The 16,083-nt window shown below is 53.7% G+C and overlaps 1 protein-coding gene across 9 annotated transcripts in view, besides 2 other annotated features; it reads right to left on the bottom strand.

Moving 5' to 3' along the window:
• Nucleotides 1-16,083, bottom strand: part of TSPAN9 (tetraspanin 9) — a 209,181-nt gene that overhangs the window by 57,118 nt on the left and 135,980 nt on the right. Inside the window, exons 5-6 of one of the 9 annotated variants that reach the window (XM_047428128.1) lie at nucleotides 14,082-15,125; nucleotides 13,562-13,674 (exon numbers count right to left, since the gene is read on the bottom strand). The exons of 6 other annotated variants lie outside the window; for them this stretch is intronic. The gene's annotated coding sequence lies outside the window, so the exon portion shown is untranslated. Of the gene's footprint in view, nucleotides 1-13,561; nucleotides 15,126-16,083 lie in introns of those variants that run through there. 2 more of the 9 variants (XM_047428127.1, XM_047428130.1) reach the window with 2 other exon arrangements.
• Nucleotides 1,883-2,398: an enhancer, noted in NCBI's record as "H3K4me1 hESC enhancer chr12:3336210-3336725 (GRCh37/hg19 assembly coordinates)". NCBI's record gives its function as "activates a minimal SCP1, AML or CMV promoter by ChIP-STARR-seq in naive H9 embryonic stem cells {active_cell/tissue: H9 hESC(naive)}" and the evidence as "EXISTENCE:reporter gene assay evidence [ECO:0000049][PMID:30033119]".
• Nucleotides 14,210-14,749: an enhancer, noted in NCBI's record as "NANOG-H3K27ac-H3K4me1 hESC enhancer chr12:3323859-3324398 (GRCh37/hg19 assembly coordinates)". NCBI's record gives its function as "activates a minimal SCP1, AML or CMV promoter by ChIP-STARR-seq in naive H9 embryonic stem cells {active_cell/tissue: H9 hESC(naive)}" and the evidence as "EXISTENCE:reporter gene assay evidence [ECO:0000049][PMID:30033119]".

Raw genomic sequence — 16,083 nt, 5'->3', positions numbered from 1 at the left:
GCCACACAAGAGTGAAATGAGGACGGATGGAAGGAAAGAAGGCAGAGTGAGGGCCACATACCCAGTGCAGGTTCACAGTCAAAGGCACCTCGAAGGCCAGGCCACGAGACCAATGAGGTTGAGACCCAAGGCAGGGATTCATCTTCTTGATTCTATTTGCTGCCCCTTGGTAGGAGGCTGGTACAGATTTGTGGCCCCCACAACTCTCTGGGCCCGAAATGGGACCAACCCCCCAACCCCTGTCCCCTGTGCCCACAGTAGCTGGGGATGCTCTATGCCATGGGTTGAATGGTGGCTCCAAAGATAACTTCATGTCCTAATCCCTGGAACCTGTGAATGTGACCTTATTTGGAAGAGGGTCTTTGCAGATGTGATTATATGAAGGATCTTGAAATAAGGAGATCATCCTGGATGACCTGGGAGGGCTAAATGCCAACAGGAACATCCTTATGAGAGAGAGGCAAAGGGAGGTATACAGAGGAGGAGGAGATGAGGGATTGCAGTGATGCAGCCACAAGCCAAGGAATGCTGGCAGCCTCCAGAAGCTGGGAGAGGCAAGGAAGGATTCTTCCCTAGAGCCTTCGAAGGGAGCATGGCCCTGCAACACTTCAATTTCAGACATCTGGCCTCCAGAATGGTGACATAATAGACTTCTGTTGTTTTCAGCCACCAAGTGTATGGTAATTTGTTACAGCAGCCCCAGAAAACCGACACACCCTGGAAGGGAGCTGTGCCAAGATACCTCCCAGCAACATCAACTGTACCAACATCAACTCACGCTGAGACTGAAAGGAGAACGGGGCGCTGCTCTGCAGCCAGGCAGCACAGGGCTCAGCACTAGAGCTAGGAGCACTCACTTCTAGGCCTGCCTGCCAATAGTGGGGCCTTTTTCATCCACCCCATGGGGTGGGGAGGGCATGAGCAAAGCCTCAGAAATGATTGCCTAAGCTAGTCCTGGATCTTCCCCCTAGTGCTTGTGTGACTGGTCCCCCAACACCTCTGAGATTTAGTATCCTCATGCGTGAAATGGGGACTGAAAAGCAGGATGTGAGGAGAGCTTATTTATTTCTTTTTTAAGAGAGAGGGTCTGGCTCTGTTGTTCAGGCTGGAGCGCAGTGGTGCAATCACAGCTTACTGCAGCCTCGATCTCCCGGGCTCAAGTGATCCTCCAGCCTCAGCCCCCCAAGTAGCTGAGATTACAGGTGCATGCCACAGGTGCATGCCACCACATTTGGCTAATTTTTCTATATTTTTTTGTAGAGTTGAGGTCTTGTGATGTTGCCCAGGCTGGTCTCAAACTCCTAGCCTCAAGCAGTCCTCCCATCTCGGCCTTCCAAAGTGATGGGATTACAGACATGAGCCCCCACATCCGGCCAAGGATTTTTTTAATACAGACAAAGCATTTAGCATAGTGCCTGGTACATAGTAATTGCTCAATGAATTTTAGCTGCCTTTCTTATTTCCTTGAAAAGGACCACAAGGACCAAATGAGAGACGTATATGAAGGCGTTTTCTGAGCCAGAAAGCACCCCATGAACACCAGTCATCGTTAGATCATTATTATAACCTCGGCAGAAGTCAAACCTGTACCACCCCAGCCTACCCGAGCAGGACCAGCCCTCCCTGGGGCCTGCCAACCGGCTTCCTCCTGTCTTCAAGCCTCCCATGGACACCAAGTCCCAGCTGCAAGTGAGCACACCTAAGTCCCCTGCCTCACATGGAGAGGACGTGGCCCGACTGGAAGAGCCAGAGGCCAGTGGAGATGGAGTGTGAGTCCGTGTGAGAAGGGGAGGCTGGGGCCGGGCCTGGCACGCAAGCCTGCCTGCCACACAAACACTCCCTCATGACCCATTTTCCTGTCCACAGGTACCTGCGGCTTCCTGGTGCTGCCAGGAAGCATTAACTTGCCACTCTCCAAGCACGCAATGCAAATTTCACCCTCCACGGGGAGTCTCCCCACTAAAAACAGCTTTGTCCCTTCAGGCGTCTGACCTTAGTGTCTCAGAGGGCCAGGAAGCACAGGCCATGATGGGCTGCCCTAGAGCTGTCAGAAGCCAGCCCTTGTCAGAGGGTTAAAGCTGCTCTCCAAAGCCTGCCCCCAGCAGGGCAAAATGGCCCAGGCTGCGCAGCCCTGGTGGACACATTCAGCCCAGGACACATGTACAGCCGATGACTTCTGATGCTGCTCTGGGGCTCTTAGTCTCCCTGTGTTCAATGAAACTGCTGTTGGCTTCAGCTCTTGCATTTAATTTTTTACCACTAAACAATCATTTGGATTTGCCCACTGTGGTGTTTACTGCCAGCATACAGAGGGCCAGATACAACACAGTACAGAGTGCAGTGTAGGTACAGGCAGAGGCCCAGGGACGAGGATTCAGTTCCAGCCTCAGCCACCCAGACATGCAGGTAAGTGTCAGGTCTCCCTCTCTGCACTCAGTATCTCACTAACCAATGGGAGGATAACCTGGCCTCTCTCTACCATCAAGGATACTGTTGGAAACCCTTCGGGCTTCTTGGGAAGGATTCAGACCACATATTAGGAGAAGCCAGGCACAGTGGTGTATGCCTGTTGTCCCAGCTGCTTGACAGGCTAAGGCAGGAGGACTGCTTGAGCCCAGGAGTTCGAAGAGGGAAAAAAAAAAAAAAATATATATATATATATATATATATATATATATATATATATATATATATATACACACACACACACACACACACACACATACATACACATACACACACACACACACACACACACACACACACACACACACACACACACACACACATATATATAAAATTTTTTTAAGAGATGGGGTCTTGTTATGTTGCCTAGGCTGGCCTCAAACTCCTGGGCTCAAGCAATCCTTCTGCCTCAGCCATATATATACACCCTCAAATCCAAGCACACCTACAGAGGCTTAGGACCCTCCATCCCTAAGAAATCAGCAGTCAGCATTTTACCCAGAAGGAGGGAAAAAAGATTACATGGCCCCTTAAGAATGCTCACGGCCAGAGGATTCAGGAGTAAGCCCTCCTAAGGCTTCTTGGATGTGAATCTGACCTTTCAAGAGCGGATCATTCCCTAATACCCAGGCTCGTCCCCTTGAACTTGTGAACAAATTGAGAATACTCCTTTCCAAGCACAAAGACCAAGAATGGCAGGTTATCTTCTCTGGTCTTTAAAGGAGTTTCTCCCGCTATGTGCAACTAGAGGATAAAAAATGTCTGCCTTCCTAACTCTACCAGCCCCTCACGACCGTCCTCCCCTCACCCCATCACACCCCATCTCCTCCCTCTGCACTCAGCCAGAGCAATCCTGTCCCCTCCTTTCCCCCAGTCTCCCCTCTAATGTCACCTCTCCCTACAGACTTCGGCAGGAGAGACAGCAGAACCACAACTCTGACCCCTCTCCCTGAGTCAGGCTCAGAGTATCAACAGGCCCTGTGTGGTTTACTGTGACTTCAGAAGGAAAGAAAAAATGGTCCCCAGCTGGCTCCCAGCTTGGCCCAGCAGGTAGAATGTGTGCACATGGACCGTCCCTCTGGGTCCTTCTGGCATGGCTTTGTTCTTCCAGCTGAGAATGAACCTGTCCACCTCTCTAGGGAGTCCACCTCTCTCAGCCTGGTGGCCCACGGGTAAAGATGGGCCCTAGTCACAAGACCCTCTGATATACGAAACCTATTTGAAAAAAAAAAAATCCCTTCTGCTTCCCCAGGCTTAAGGCAATTACTCGGCCCCTGGCTTCCTGTTATTGTGGAGGGCGGGGGGCCGTCTGCCCACTTTCTTAAGCTCCGGAACCAAGCATGAGTCAGGCACTGTGCAGGGGTACATTGCTCATCTTCCCACGAGGATGCAACAACGGTCCCCCATCCCACAGGCATCAGGCTTGGTTGGCAGCTGCCTGAAAACTGCCCCCAGACCAGCGCTTCTGCACGTGCATGACTCCTGTTCTGCCCAGAAGCTGTCACTCCCCACCGTGAGTGTGACAACCTTCCCTCCAAGCGCCTTCAGTCTCTGCAGGCCTCACTTTCAAGAAAGGTAGAGAAAATGCTGTGACCGCCACCGCACAGGACAGGCTGTCCTGTGCGTGCACATGTGAGAGGCAGTCCTCCAGGCCCCCTGGGCAGGCTGGGGAGTGGCGGGTGCTAAGGGTACAGAGACACCAGGAGAAAAAGCCAGGCCTCGCCTGAAATCATTCACCTCTGTGCGCTGTGGGTCGGATGAAAGCCTTCCCACGGTCCCCCAACTGGAGGCTGGGGGCCCCTCCTGGGTGCCCTTACGGCTTCCTGTGTTTACCTCCAACCCAGCTCGGACCACAGGGTGCGAGGATGATTGATTCTTTGTCTCTGTTCCACTGTCAAAGAGAATGGCAGCTCTTTGACCGCATGGGCTATGGGATCCTGTGCACCGCAAAGGTGCCCACCACCAGCTGCACACACAGTGGAGTGGCTGGATGAACCTCTGAATGAATTCTGAAGCTCTGGCTGCCCCATCGGGATGAGCCATGGGAGCGTGGCCGCCCTGTAATCCTGACCACAGCTCTGTTCCCTGCAGCAGCCCCCCACAAGCCCCTCAAGAGGGCCGATCTCACACAAATCTGCTTTTACCAGACAGGAAGAGCACTGCTGAAGCGAAGCTGACAGAACCGGGAAATCTGTCAGGGGGCCCGTGCTGACGTCAAACCAGACCCGACAGCTGTCATTACCCCCGCCCATCACGCGGCCACCCTGGCGCAGTACGTGCATCTGGGTATGAGCAGACGCTAGGCCTCATCGGAGATCCCAGGCTGCTCGGCATCAACCACGCGGATCCTGCCCCTCTGGGCACAGCTTCCCCAGATACACGGTCCAGGGGTCGCTTCTCCCAGCTGGGCTGCCCCAGCATGGAAAACAACCCTGAACGGGAGCCAGGCCTGGGTCCTGATTCCGCCTCTGCCCCCAGCTCACTGGCATTTCCCAGCCAAGCTCCTTTCCTTCTGTAGGTTCTTCCTAGCTTCCTCGTGTGTGAAAAAGGGAGGGCCAGACTCGCTGCATTCTGCTCTCCCCTCTCTGACGCTCCACAGATCTCCAAGGGCTCTTACTCCACTTCACCAGCCCGTGAGGGCGCCTAGCACAGTGTCCAGCAGAGCAGCACCACCCTCGGTCATCCACAGCCTCCCGGTCCCATCTGTAAGTGCACAAGGGTCCCAAGGGAAACCAGATGCTGCCTGACACCTACTACACAGAGAGATGGAAGGGCCACCTACCCATGTCTCAGCTAACAAAAGAAGGAGTAGGCTATGTCTGAGGCGGTAAGGATTCTGACTTGATGGAAGGAGGAACTTCCTGCTTATCAATTCAGAAAAAAAATTTTTTTTTTTACTAGGATGAGTCCTACCTAAAGAAGCACAAATCCATCTGAAGAGCAAGAAATGGACTAGGAAGCAGCTTCAACCTTGGCTGCACAGGAGACCCTGCTGGGGAGCTTTCCCGTGTCCAGATGCCCAGGACACTCCTCAGACCAATGACACAGAATTTCAGGAGATGGAACCCAGCATCCCTATTCTGTTATAAATCTCTCACATGACTCCAGCATGCAGACAGAGAAGACTGGATGCCATCCCGACGCCTGGCCACCCCATCAGCCCCTAGGCTGATCGCTCTCCTAACAAGCTGCCGCCGCCACGGCTGAATTCATGCCCCTGTGTTAGAAAACACTTGTAGTCCCGGTCTCTCGCTCAATACTTGAACCAGCTCCATAAGGAGTGTTCCCCTTCCCATTTTATAGGTGAGGAAATGCAGGGACTGCTGGAGAGGCAGGTGCAGACTGATGATCTGGCCTCAGATTCACTTTTTTACTCTAAAACAAGGTAGACACACAGACAAACCAAAGCACAGACACGCACACGTGCAGTACTGCAGGACGGTCTTGGGGCTGTTACTCCATGCCCAACGCATCCTTGCAGCAAACGGCATAGAAAACATGCCACAAAAGCCAGGGAGGGTTGGAACAGGCTCTGGAACAAACGAGGTCCCTGTCCCACATCTCCACCGGGCTTCAACATGACAGTCCCCAGCCCCATTCCCGTCAAATCCATTCGTGACGATCTCTGCCCAGGGCTGGCCATGCTGGAGGAGGCCTTGGCGGTGAGCTGTGTTCAAATTAGCCGGGTAAGGGGCACAGAATTTCACTGTAATTGGACGTGTTTGTTCCAAGGATGACGACTACAGCACATTTCTCATGTTAATGTCATCCAACTACCCATGTACTGCAATTACTCTGCATCGATTTTAAAGCCGACCTAGCACAATAGCGGCTTCTAATTTGTAAGCAAAACCGCAGTGGCATAAATCAAACTGATAGAGGCAACGGCACTGATGCATGCTAATGGGGAGTTAATAGACAGGGGAGGACAGCTCAGGCACTCGGCTCCTGCAGGTCCCTCACCTGCCCGGTGGGCTGGCACAGCCCGCCCACACCCCACCCCTCTGCCTTAGCCTGATAGGCACTTTCCAGTGATGGCTCCCCGGGTCTGGATGGCCAAAGCTGTGACTTAGGGCCCCCTCGGGATCTCCGCCATAGGACAAACCTGCTGTGAGGATCAGGGTCAGCTGGTCTTTCATCCCAGGGTGGGACCTGGGGGGTGGTTTAAGGAGAGGGCTATTAGTCATGGTAGAACAAGGACCTGAAGAAGCCAGCACGGGTGAACCTCAGTCTCTGGTCCTCATTACCAGTTAATATTTCTTGAGGACCACTGCAGAAAGGGCCCTGCATCAGGTATGCTCTTGGCAGGAATGTGGGCTGCAGACCCAGGACACAAAATGAGCCATCCATCACACAGGCTTCCCCACACAATCTGATCAGCGTCACCTCTGGGCAGCATCCAGAGAGGCAGCCGGGTTTAAGGAACAGAGATGAGGCTGAGAGCCAAGACCCCTGTAAATCCATCCAGATGCAGTGCCATGGGGTGCCAGGGGTGGCCCATTAGCCTGGCAGACAGAAGGTCTTACGCCTGGAGACGTGTGCTGATAAATGCCCAGGAAGCACTTGCTGCTCATCCCTCTGCTACCACCACCGTCCAACCTGGACGAGGTTTCCAAGCCTGCCAGCATCTGCTTCCTGACTCTGAAAGTACAAGTTATGGACCCAAGACCAACCAGGCCTCATCTGTGACGGAGCCAGGGCCCTGTGTATAGGAAATGGGGATCCCCTCCACATGCCCCCCTCTTCCCAGGGCAGCTGTGGCCACGTCCCCCCCTTCTGCATGCCAGCAGGACCAAGCCCTGTGCCTTGAGCATAGTAAAAGTTCAATAAATGCTTATTGGAAGAATTTTCAGGAAAAGACAGTTAGAGAACCCTGTGTGGGTCTAAGGAAATACATTCATAACAGAGCACCTAAGGTAGCTGGCCGCTTTCTTTCCAATACACTCTTGTCCCGTGTTCCTTAAACAACATGGTTTACAACATCGAAAGGAAAGCTGTAATTAGGTGCTCAGGTATCTTTAAAACTTCTCTTTAGGCTGGGCACGGTGGCTTATACCAATCATCCTAGCACTTTGGAAGGCCAAGGCAGGAGGATTACTTGAGACCAGCCTAAGCAACACAGGGAGACCCTATCTCTACAAAAAATTTAAAAATTCACTGGGCGTGGTGGTACATGCCTGTAGTCCCAGCTACTTAGGAGACTGAGGCAGGAGTATCACTTGAGCCCAGGAGTTCAAGGTTGCAGTGAGCTGTGATTATGCCACTGGATTCCAGCCTGGGTGACAGAGTGAGACCCTATCTCAAAAAAAATTTGTTAGGCTGAGCACGGTGGCTCACGCCTATAATCCCAGCACTTTGGGAGGCCAAGGCAGGTGGATCACCTGAGGTCAGGAGTTCAAGACCAGCCTGGCCAACATGGTGAAACTCTGTCTCTACTAAAACTACAAAAATTAGACGGGCTTGGTGGCATGCACCTGTAATCCCAGCTGCTTGGGAGGCTGAGGCAGGAGAATCACTTGAACCTGGGGGGCAGAGATTGCAATAAGCCAAATTCACACCATTGCACTCCAGCCTGGGCGACAAGAATGAGACTTCATCTAAAAAAAAAAAAAAAAGAGAAAAATATTTTAAATAAAAAATAACTTATCTTCAATGGAAAATAAACTGTTGTAATATGTTGCACAGTCTAGCCATGACAAGGCAAAGACTGTTTCATCCTTGCTTTTGTCTTTCCCAGTATAAGCAGATATTTGAATGAATAAATGAATAAGGGAAGGGACCAGTAAAGGATGGGTGCAAAACCTAGAGTGTGGTCCCAACAAGAGGACTGCCCAGTCAGGACAGCCTGGAAAGTCTTGGCCACCTGCTGAGGGTGGCGACCCAGTCTCCCGGTCCCTGTGGCTTCTCTCCCCTCCTCCCCGTACCAACAGCCAGCAGGCTTGCAAAAGTTCAGCCTGATGCTGAGTCTCCAGGGCTCTCCAGTCACCGAGCCATAAAAGGAGACTGGAAATATCTCTCTGCATCTTTGGAAAAGAGCAACGGATGAAGGATGGCCCCAGAGTCAGGAACCACCTCACAGGGAAAGGCCAATGTGTTCCTCATCCAAGGTCTAAGATAGGAAGGGCCCTGTCCTCTGAACGGAAGAACCCAGAAATGACAGCCCTCCTTGGGCCCGCCTTCCCACCGAGAGCCCTCTGTGCTGGGCGGTGTGGTGCACTCTTCCCCGGCAGCACAGGAAACAGGTCTCATATTATCTTGAGACAGCCCCGGCCCAGCACACCAGTAACATCCCCCACAGGCCAGGGCAGCAGGACTAAGCCTCCGGGCTTGGGTCCTCCAGTGGGTCCCAGGAAAACATATCAACATCGGATTCCTCTGCAGACCTCTCCCATGCCTCCACCTCCCAGCCAATGGCCCGGGTGCAGCAGAATCGACGAAGCTTCACCTCTGCCTGCTCCAAAGAAGCATCTCGGCCAATATTTGTGAGCTATGCTGTGCCGCAGACTATGCAGGCACCGCTGGAGAGTCAGGAAGGTGACGGTCAGCCTCTGGGGTGCCCACCCATGCACCCTAGACCCACGCCTAACCCTGAGGGTGCTTTACTCCCAGTGAGACACCTCGGTCTGTTACCAGCCTGGGACAGTAAAGGGCAAAATAGTGGTTAAGAGCACGGAAGTCTTTGGAATCAGTCAGACATAAGGTAGCACAGGTTCAGAGCCTGGGCCACGGCACAGCACGGTGTCAGCTTCAGAAATGGTAGCTGTTACAGGTAACTACTAGTAAGGTCTCTTTGAAGAAACTTCCTAGATTCATTCCTTTTTTTTTTTTTTGAGACAGAGTTTCGCTCTTGTCACCCAGGCTGGAGTGCAATGGCGTGATCTCGGCTCACTGCAACTTCCGCCTCCCGGGTTCAAGCAATTCTCCTGCCTTAGCCTTCCAAGCAGCTGGGACTACAAGCATGCGCCACTACTTTTTGTATTTTTAGTAGAGACAGGGTTTCACCACGTTGGCCAGGCTAGTCTCGAACTCCTGACCTCAGGTGATCCGCCCGCCGCAGCCTTCCAAAGTGCTGGGATTACCGGCGTGGGCCACAGCACCCAGCCTCATTCCTTTTTTTTTTTTTTTTTAATAGTTTAAGTTCTGGGACACATGTGCAGAATGTGCAGGTTTGTTACATTGGTATACATGTGCCATGGTGGTTTGCTACACCCATCATCTACATTAGGTATTTCTCCTAATGCTATCCCTCCCCTAGCTCCTCACCCCCCGACAGGCCCCAGGGTGTGTGATGTTCCCCTCCCTATCATTCCCTTTTTAAGTCATCCCTTCCACCTTCCCTCCATTTTTCTCTACTCATCTATATTCTCAAATCCCAGAGAAAGATGTACAAACAAATCTTTATAGTCTTCAAAGGATCTCCATTTGAGAGAGCTGCCTGTCTGGCTGACTCTTGGCTCCTGAGGCAGGAGGTGAAGGCGCCCTCCCTCCATCCTCACAGAAGGTCCGCCTTGGACAGGTGCCCGACCCACACCGGGAGATGGGGGTCGGTACTGCGGCTGAGCAAACACAGCTCCCGCAGGAGGTGCCACTCAACAGAGATAGGATAATGATGGTGACAAACTAAGGCAGTGGCCACCCTTCCTTGAGTGTTGTGCTAGGACAGTCCCTGTGCATCCCACTCAACAACCGCACAGGGCAGGTTGCATGTCACTGTCATTGTTCACAAAAAGAAACAAAACTGAGTCTAGAGAGGTCGAACATTCTTGCTAGATCACACAGGCAACAGTGACTGACACCCAAGGCTGTCCAACTCCGAGCTTACACACACAGCCCCCATCACAGCCACTACACCGTCCGGCCTCCCCCGGCCGCCCACGGGTGGGAAGGGCCACCTGTAAGCCCTTGTCTCTGGCACATCGCTCTGTATTTGGGGCCTTCACTTCACAACAACTCAGACACAACAGAAAACAGACATCCAGCAAGAGTGGCTGGCTGGCTGCCTGAGTGGCCCTGACAGCTGACATGTCCACCATGGTTTTCTGCGACCTCTGACCTCTCTTTGGGGGGCTCCAGCTATATTCCAGAGGATGGATTGCCGGGGGGTAAAGGAAAAAGAGAAATATCAGGTTGTTTTTTTTAATGACCCAGATTCCAGCCAGATGCATTTGTTATTGGCAGCGGAGAGCCAGCGGGGCTAAGAACACAGGCAGCTGGTGATGTCTTAATCACTGCAGAGAGGAAGGGAGGCGGCCCGAGGCACCCAGCCAAGCGGGCTCAGCCCCCAGTGCTAGAGTAGCTAGCCTTCCTGGTGCCTTCTCCTTCCTTTCCCCTTTGCGTTTTTCCTCTCCTCCTCCCCATTCCCAGGTCCTACTTTTATCTTTTACTCCATCTCTGCCAAGGCCCTCAGGAAGGCAGCCAGGCCCGCTCCTACCGCCATCACCCCTGGCCCACCCAGGCTTGCCTGAGAAGGCCAGGTGAGAAGTCCTGGCCATCATAGCCCCAACCAGATCCCTAGCTAGTCTGGCCACTGCAGGCCCCAAAGGTCTCCTCCTGGCAGTCCTTTTGAGAGCTCAGTAAGAGGTTTCAAATCTAGTTTAAACATGCAGTCTCAAGGGAGCATCCTAAAAGCAGAGAACACGCCTCCTCCTCTTTCCTCCCTGACCTCAGCTGTGATCTCAAAGCACTCAGAGCTGTGAGCTCACTCCCCATCTGTCCTTTGCTCCCTGCCCCGAGGAAGTTGGGGTTGGTGGGAGACACAGAACACCTCATTCTGCTGAAGAGAAAGCCAAAACAAAGCCTAGAGAAAACCAGGGCCCACAGAAAAAATGGGGGCTGAGCACAGGACGCAGGCATGCACACCCAAAATCTGTACACATCCCATATTGTCCTGCCAAGGAGCATGGCTATGCCACCCCAGAGGGTATCATTATCCCATGCAAAACTCAGCTGGCCCCAACACACCCGCCACACACCACACAATGACCTGAAACCTCTTCATACAGTGTTTCAGTTGCTCCTTGAACCCATCTAGAAAGTAGTCTCATCATCAACCCATTTTATAGATGAGAAGGTCAAGGTTCTAAAAGTTAAGCACCTTGCTCTGTACTGTACACACAGGAAGTGGTGACACCGAGAAGCAAGCTCACCCATCCCTAGAGCACGTGCTGTCTTCCCCATATTACGTCTCACTTTCCAGACCAGGCTAGAGAAGGCCTGGAAGCAGGGAAGGGACAGATGATCAGATGCTGGGGTGAAGGGGTGAAGGGGTGAAGGGATGCAGGCAGCAGACAGCTGAAGCCAGGGGAGTTGAGTCCCTGCGGGTTCTGGTCATCTTCTCCCCCTCCCAAAGGGAAAAGTCTCTGAATTCCCTGGGGAAAGTGAAAGGGAGTAATATGGTCTGGGGTGACTCAACTTCCTCCTCTCCAAGAACAAGCCCAAACAGGGCCCTCACCGCTGCCTCAATGACACGGGGCCTCTGGACATCACAGACCCAGCATGACAGAAGAGAAGGAGTGGCTCATTCCCAGCAACACTGGGCAGGATGGCTCATTCCCAGCAACACTGGGCAGGATCTTTCCAGATGACACTTCCATAGCTAGACAGATGTCAGAGAAGCTGAGGGTGTCTCTGACCACCTCCCTTGCCGGTCACGTAGAGTGCAAGATCTAAGCCCAACCCCAGCCAACTCAGGGGACATTGCCATCAGGGACCCCAGGATGCTACACCTCAGCCCCTGGCATCCAAGGTCCGGGCATGAGGCCCAGGGGCAGGTGGAAGGCTCAGCTCCTCAGTTATCTCCTAAATACAGTGACGTGAAGAGAGCTCAGCAGGGAAAGAGCCACGAATAGCAGCCTGGGAACACCAAAGAAAGGGAACGATGAGGAAAAATAACTCCAGTAAATTAAACAGCCGGGCAACAGGCTGCCCTCTGAGCAGTCTCTCAGCCAGTCTGCCACTTCTCATCTCCTCTCCAGCCCTTCCTCCAACTGCAGTTCAGGGGCCTACTCAGGAGGCTCAGCTTCCCCCAGGACAGTGGGCCCTTGGGGTGGTGGCCTGGCCTGGACCTTCACCAGGACCCAGGGAGCCCTCAGAGCCCTCCAAAGCAGGGGCCTTGGGGATCTGTGTCTGAAGGCTAGAGATGAGGGCCTTGGCCAAGGAGGTTCCACCTCCCTAGGGTGCCTGCAGAGAAAAAAGCCCACGTGGACGTTTTTGGGAAGCAGAGAAAGGCAGCAGGTGACCCCTTAGGGGATCCACATGGCTGAATCTGGAAGCCAGAACCACCTCCGGACCACACCTGTGACAAACGGGCTTCCAGGCCCATTAGGGCCACTCCGGGTTCCAGTGGGTTCCACCTCAGCCCTGCAGGCCCTGTGCCCAGTGGGACCTGGACACCAGGCACCCCATCTCCCTCTCTGTATAAGCCTCCCCACTGACGAGATGTGTTTGAGAAGAGCTTTGGGTGCTTTGAGACGGTACGAAAATCCTGGTAAAAGGGAGGCTTGATGCTGGAGAAGCTCCCCATATCCTCCCAAGCCCCGCCTCCAGAACCCCAACCACTCTGACCAGCGAGTGCCCAGTGTGAGCTTGGACATCTCGGGGGAGCAAAAGAGATGTGGACCCAGGGCCATGTGGGCACGAATGAGCACCTCCAAAACCTACTCCCACATCTGGAAGGTCCCAGCAAAAGCCATCTGGCTGCTTAGTCAGTAGTCGCAGGATGATCCAGCTGAGAGCCCCACAGGCAGATAGCCCAAGCAAGCAAATCTGTCCAACTCCTGCCAATCACAGCACAGACTCCCCAGCTCCCAGAGGGCCCCAGGGCTGGGGTGGGGGTGGGGTGGGGATGGGGTGGCTCTGAGCATGGACTGAGGTTACTTCCCAGCCCAGGACTCCAGGAGGGAGCAGAGGCCAGAGCGACTGAGAAGGAAGCAGGGCGACCAGGGATAATGGATCAACCGCTGGGAACATGGAGCCGTGTCCCTGTGATTCCAGGATGCACAGGTTTTCATGCTCATCCCCGTAAGTCCCCAGACAGAAGAAATGAGCCTGAGCAAGCCAGACAGAGAGGTCCCGGTGGAACGTGCTCTGGACCAACCTACGTTCTCCACTCTGATACAGGCTCCAGACGGAGAGGTCCCGGTGGAACGTGCTCTGGACCAACCTACGTTCTCCACTCCGATACAGGCTGTGCCGGGCCCACCACGGAGCCTGGAGAGAGCAGCAAATGGCAGCTGGAGGGAAATGAGGGGCCCCTCCCACCCCCACACTTCCCAGACAGCCCACAAGTGGGGTTCCCCAGGTGTCAGACGCTGGGGTGCCTCAGCAGGCAACTGCAGGAGCCAGCAACATGACTTGGGGCTGCCTGGTGGAGAAATTCCCCAGGGAACAAATCATTGCACAGCTTTAGGGCCCTCTAGGAAGGCTGAGAGATGGGATGGAAATAGATACAGAGAACAACAGGAAGTCATGAAAAGAAAAATAAGCTGGCGATCCTGATTCCAATCAGCAGAACCCTTCCTAGGCCTCAGAGTACTTTCAGGATCACCATCCCATTGCAGCCCACTGACAAGGCTCCCAGGTTGGCCAGGCAAGTTTGATTAAGATTTGATTCCCACCTTACCGAGGAGAAGCTGAAGTCAAAGATCCTCCCAGGGAGTCAATGGCAGAGCAGCAGGGTAGCCCAAGCCTTCCCCCAGCCAGCTATGGCCTGCGGCGCTGGTGCACGGACACCCCCTAAATGTGTGCAGTACTTTCCAGTTTAAGGCACCACCCTTCTCTTGGTTTGGATTCTCACAACCACCAGAGAAGCGGGTAGGACAGGTTCTTGAATCCACACACAAGGTAAAGCATCCCTGGCTTTGAGCCATGAGTTTTAATGGGGAGACTTGGGGATGGGGGTGGGAAGGGTATGTGTTTGTTTCCTAAAGAGGTAGCAGGTGGGAGCGCAGGCCAGGGCCAGGGGATAAGGGAGGTGGGCTGTCAGGGGCTGCCCTGGGTAGAAGGGCACAGTGAACAGGGTAGAGCCGGGTGAGAGGCAGGCAGCGCCAGGGAACAGCCCTGAAGACGTGTTCAGGGGGATGGGGGGAAGGAGGAAGAAACAAGAACGCTCTTCCTAATGACGATCGCTGGAGGGAGGAATTGGAACAATAGTAATTAAGGCTTCTAACAATAGGAAGGAGCCGCGACAGTTCTGTGTGTCAAACAAGGTGCAGAGCTTCTCCCCAGCGTAGCCAGGGTGCTTAATACGGCAGCCCGCCCCCTCATTACCTGCTTAGAGGGCGTGAAGGCCCTCCCCTGCAGGGGGGAGGGCGTGTTCAAATCAACTGACTGCTGTGGCTGTGGCCCCATCTCCTGCCCAGGCCCAGAAACGACTTCCATTTCTTGCTACCCTGAAGTGGGAAATGGGCTAACAGGGAAGATTCTCCCCCCACCACTAAGCAAGGAACTGGAGGTCCGAAGAGGCAAATCCAACAGGAGTTCGTCCACCCTGGAACCCAGCGCTCCTGTCCCGACCCAGCCCCGCGGCAGGCAGCCGCTCACTCCAGGCCTGTGAGCTCCAGGAATGGCAAAATCTAGGGCAGCTTTGTCCAGGCAGTGAGTTCCAGCACACTGAGCACACACGTAGTCCAGGTGAGGCAGTCCCCTTTCAGTGTCACCACCTATGAGACAGAAGAAACTCATCCGTGGTCCATCACTCTACCGACGCTACTATGAGGATAAGGAAGATAAAATATCTCAATAATCATCAGCTCCTTAAAAAAGACAAAGGGAACAAAAGAAACATATACAACCACAGAATGTCAGGGCCCAGAGAGACCTCAGAGATGAGCTGGTCCAAGTCTATCATTTTCCAGATGTGGAAACTGAGGCCCAGAGACAGAAGCAGTTTGCCCAGGATCACACGGCTAGTTAGCAAGCATGCCGGGGACTAGAACCCAGGTCTCTGGGATCAACTCCCTGCTCTTTTCCACTCTGCCACTTTGATCCCAGATACAAGCGAGAGTTAACTGGCATGCATCTTCCAAGAAGAGCTGCACACCTGCATTTGTAGGAGTGGGGAGGAAATGCAGGATGCATGGCCAGGCACCCCAGGATCCCGCAGGCTGTTTGGGTGGCCACCCAGCCCAGCCCCTCCCTGCCCCAAGTTGTGAGAAGTCTCCATTTAGGTGGGAAGACAGAAAGCTAATCGGCAATGCAGAGAATCTTGTCAATATTCCTCCCACAGCTCCTGAGTAAGACCCACAGCCCTCTACGGAGTGGCTTTTGTGAAATATGCACTTTTCAGACTCCCCTCCTCCCAGCAGGCAGGCTGAGAAAGGGACAGGTGAAGGGGGGCTGGAAGGGGGAGGGGGGCTTCGCTGCAGCTCTCTTTAGCTGCCATAAATGGGAACAAAGTGAGCACCTCGTGCACTCAGTACCACATCAGCATTCCTCCCTCCACCCTTGCTCTCTCCTGAGGGTCCCTGAACCTCCTCCCCAACCAGGCCTCTGAGCCCCAGGGACTGGTCACGATGAGTGTCCTAAATGGCTCAGACATAAAGAGCTCCTGCCCAGAGCCCAGGCTTATCGGCCTGACAAGCTGTCGCTCTGATTTGGGTCCAATGAGCTCTTGCCAAC

The sequence above is a fragment of the Homo sapiens genome, chromosome 12 (assembly GCF_000001405.40).
Source record: "Homo sapiens chromosome 12, GRCh38.p14 Primary Assembly".
In the NCBI taxonomy this organism is placed as follows: Eukaryota; Metazoa; Chordata; class Mammalia; order Primates; family Hominidae; genus Homo; species Homo sapiens.
This window is presented reverse-complemented; position numbering and strand designations above follow the sequence as displayed.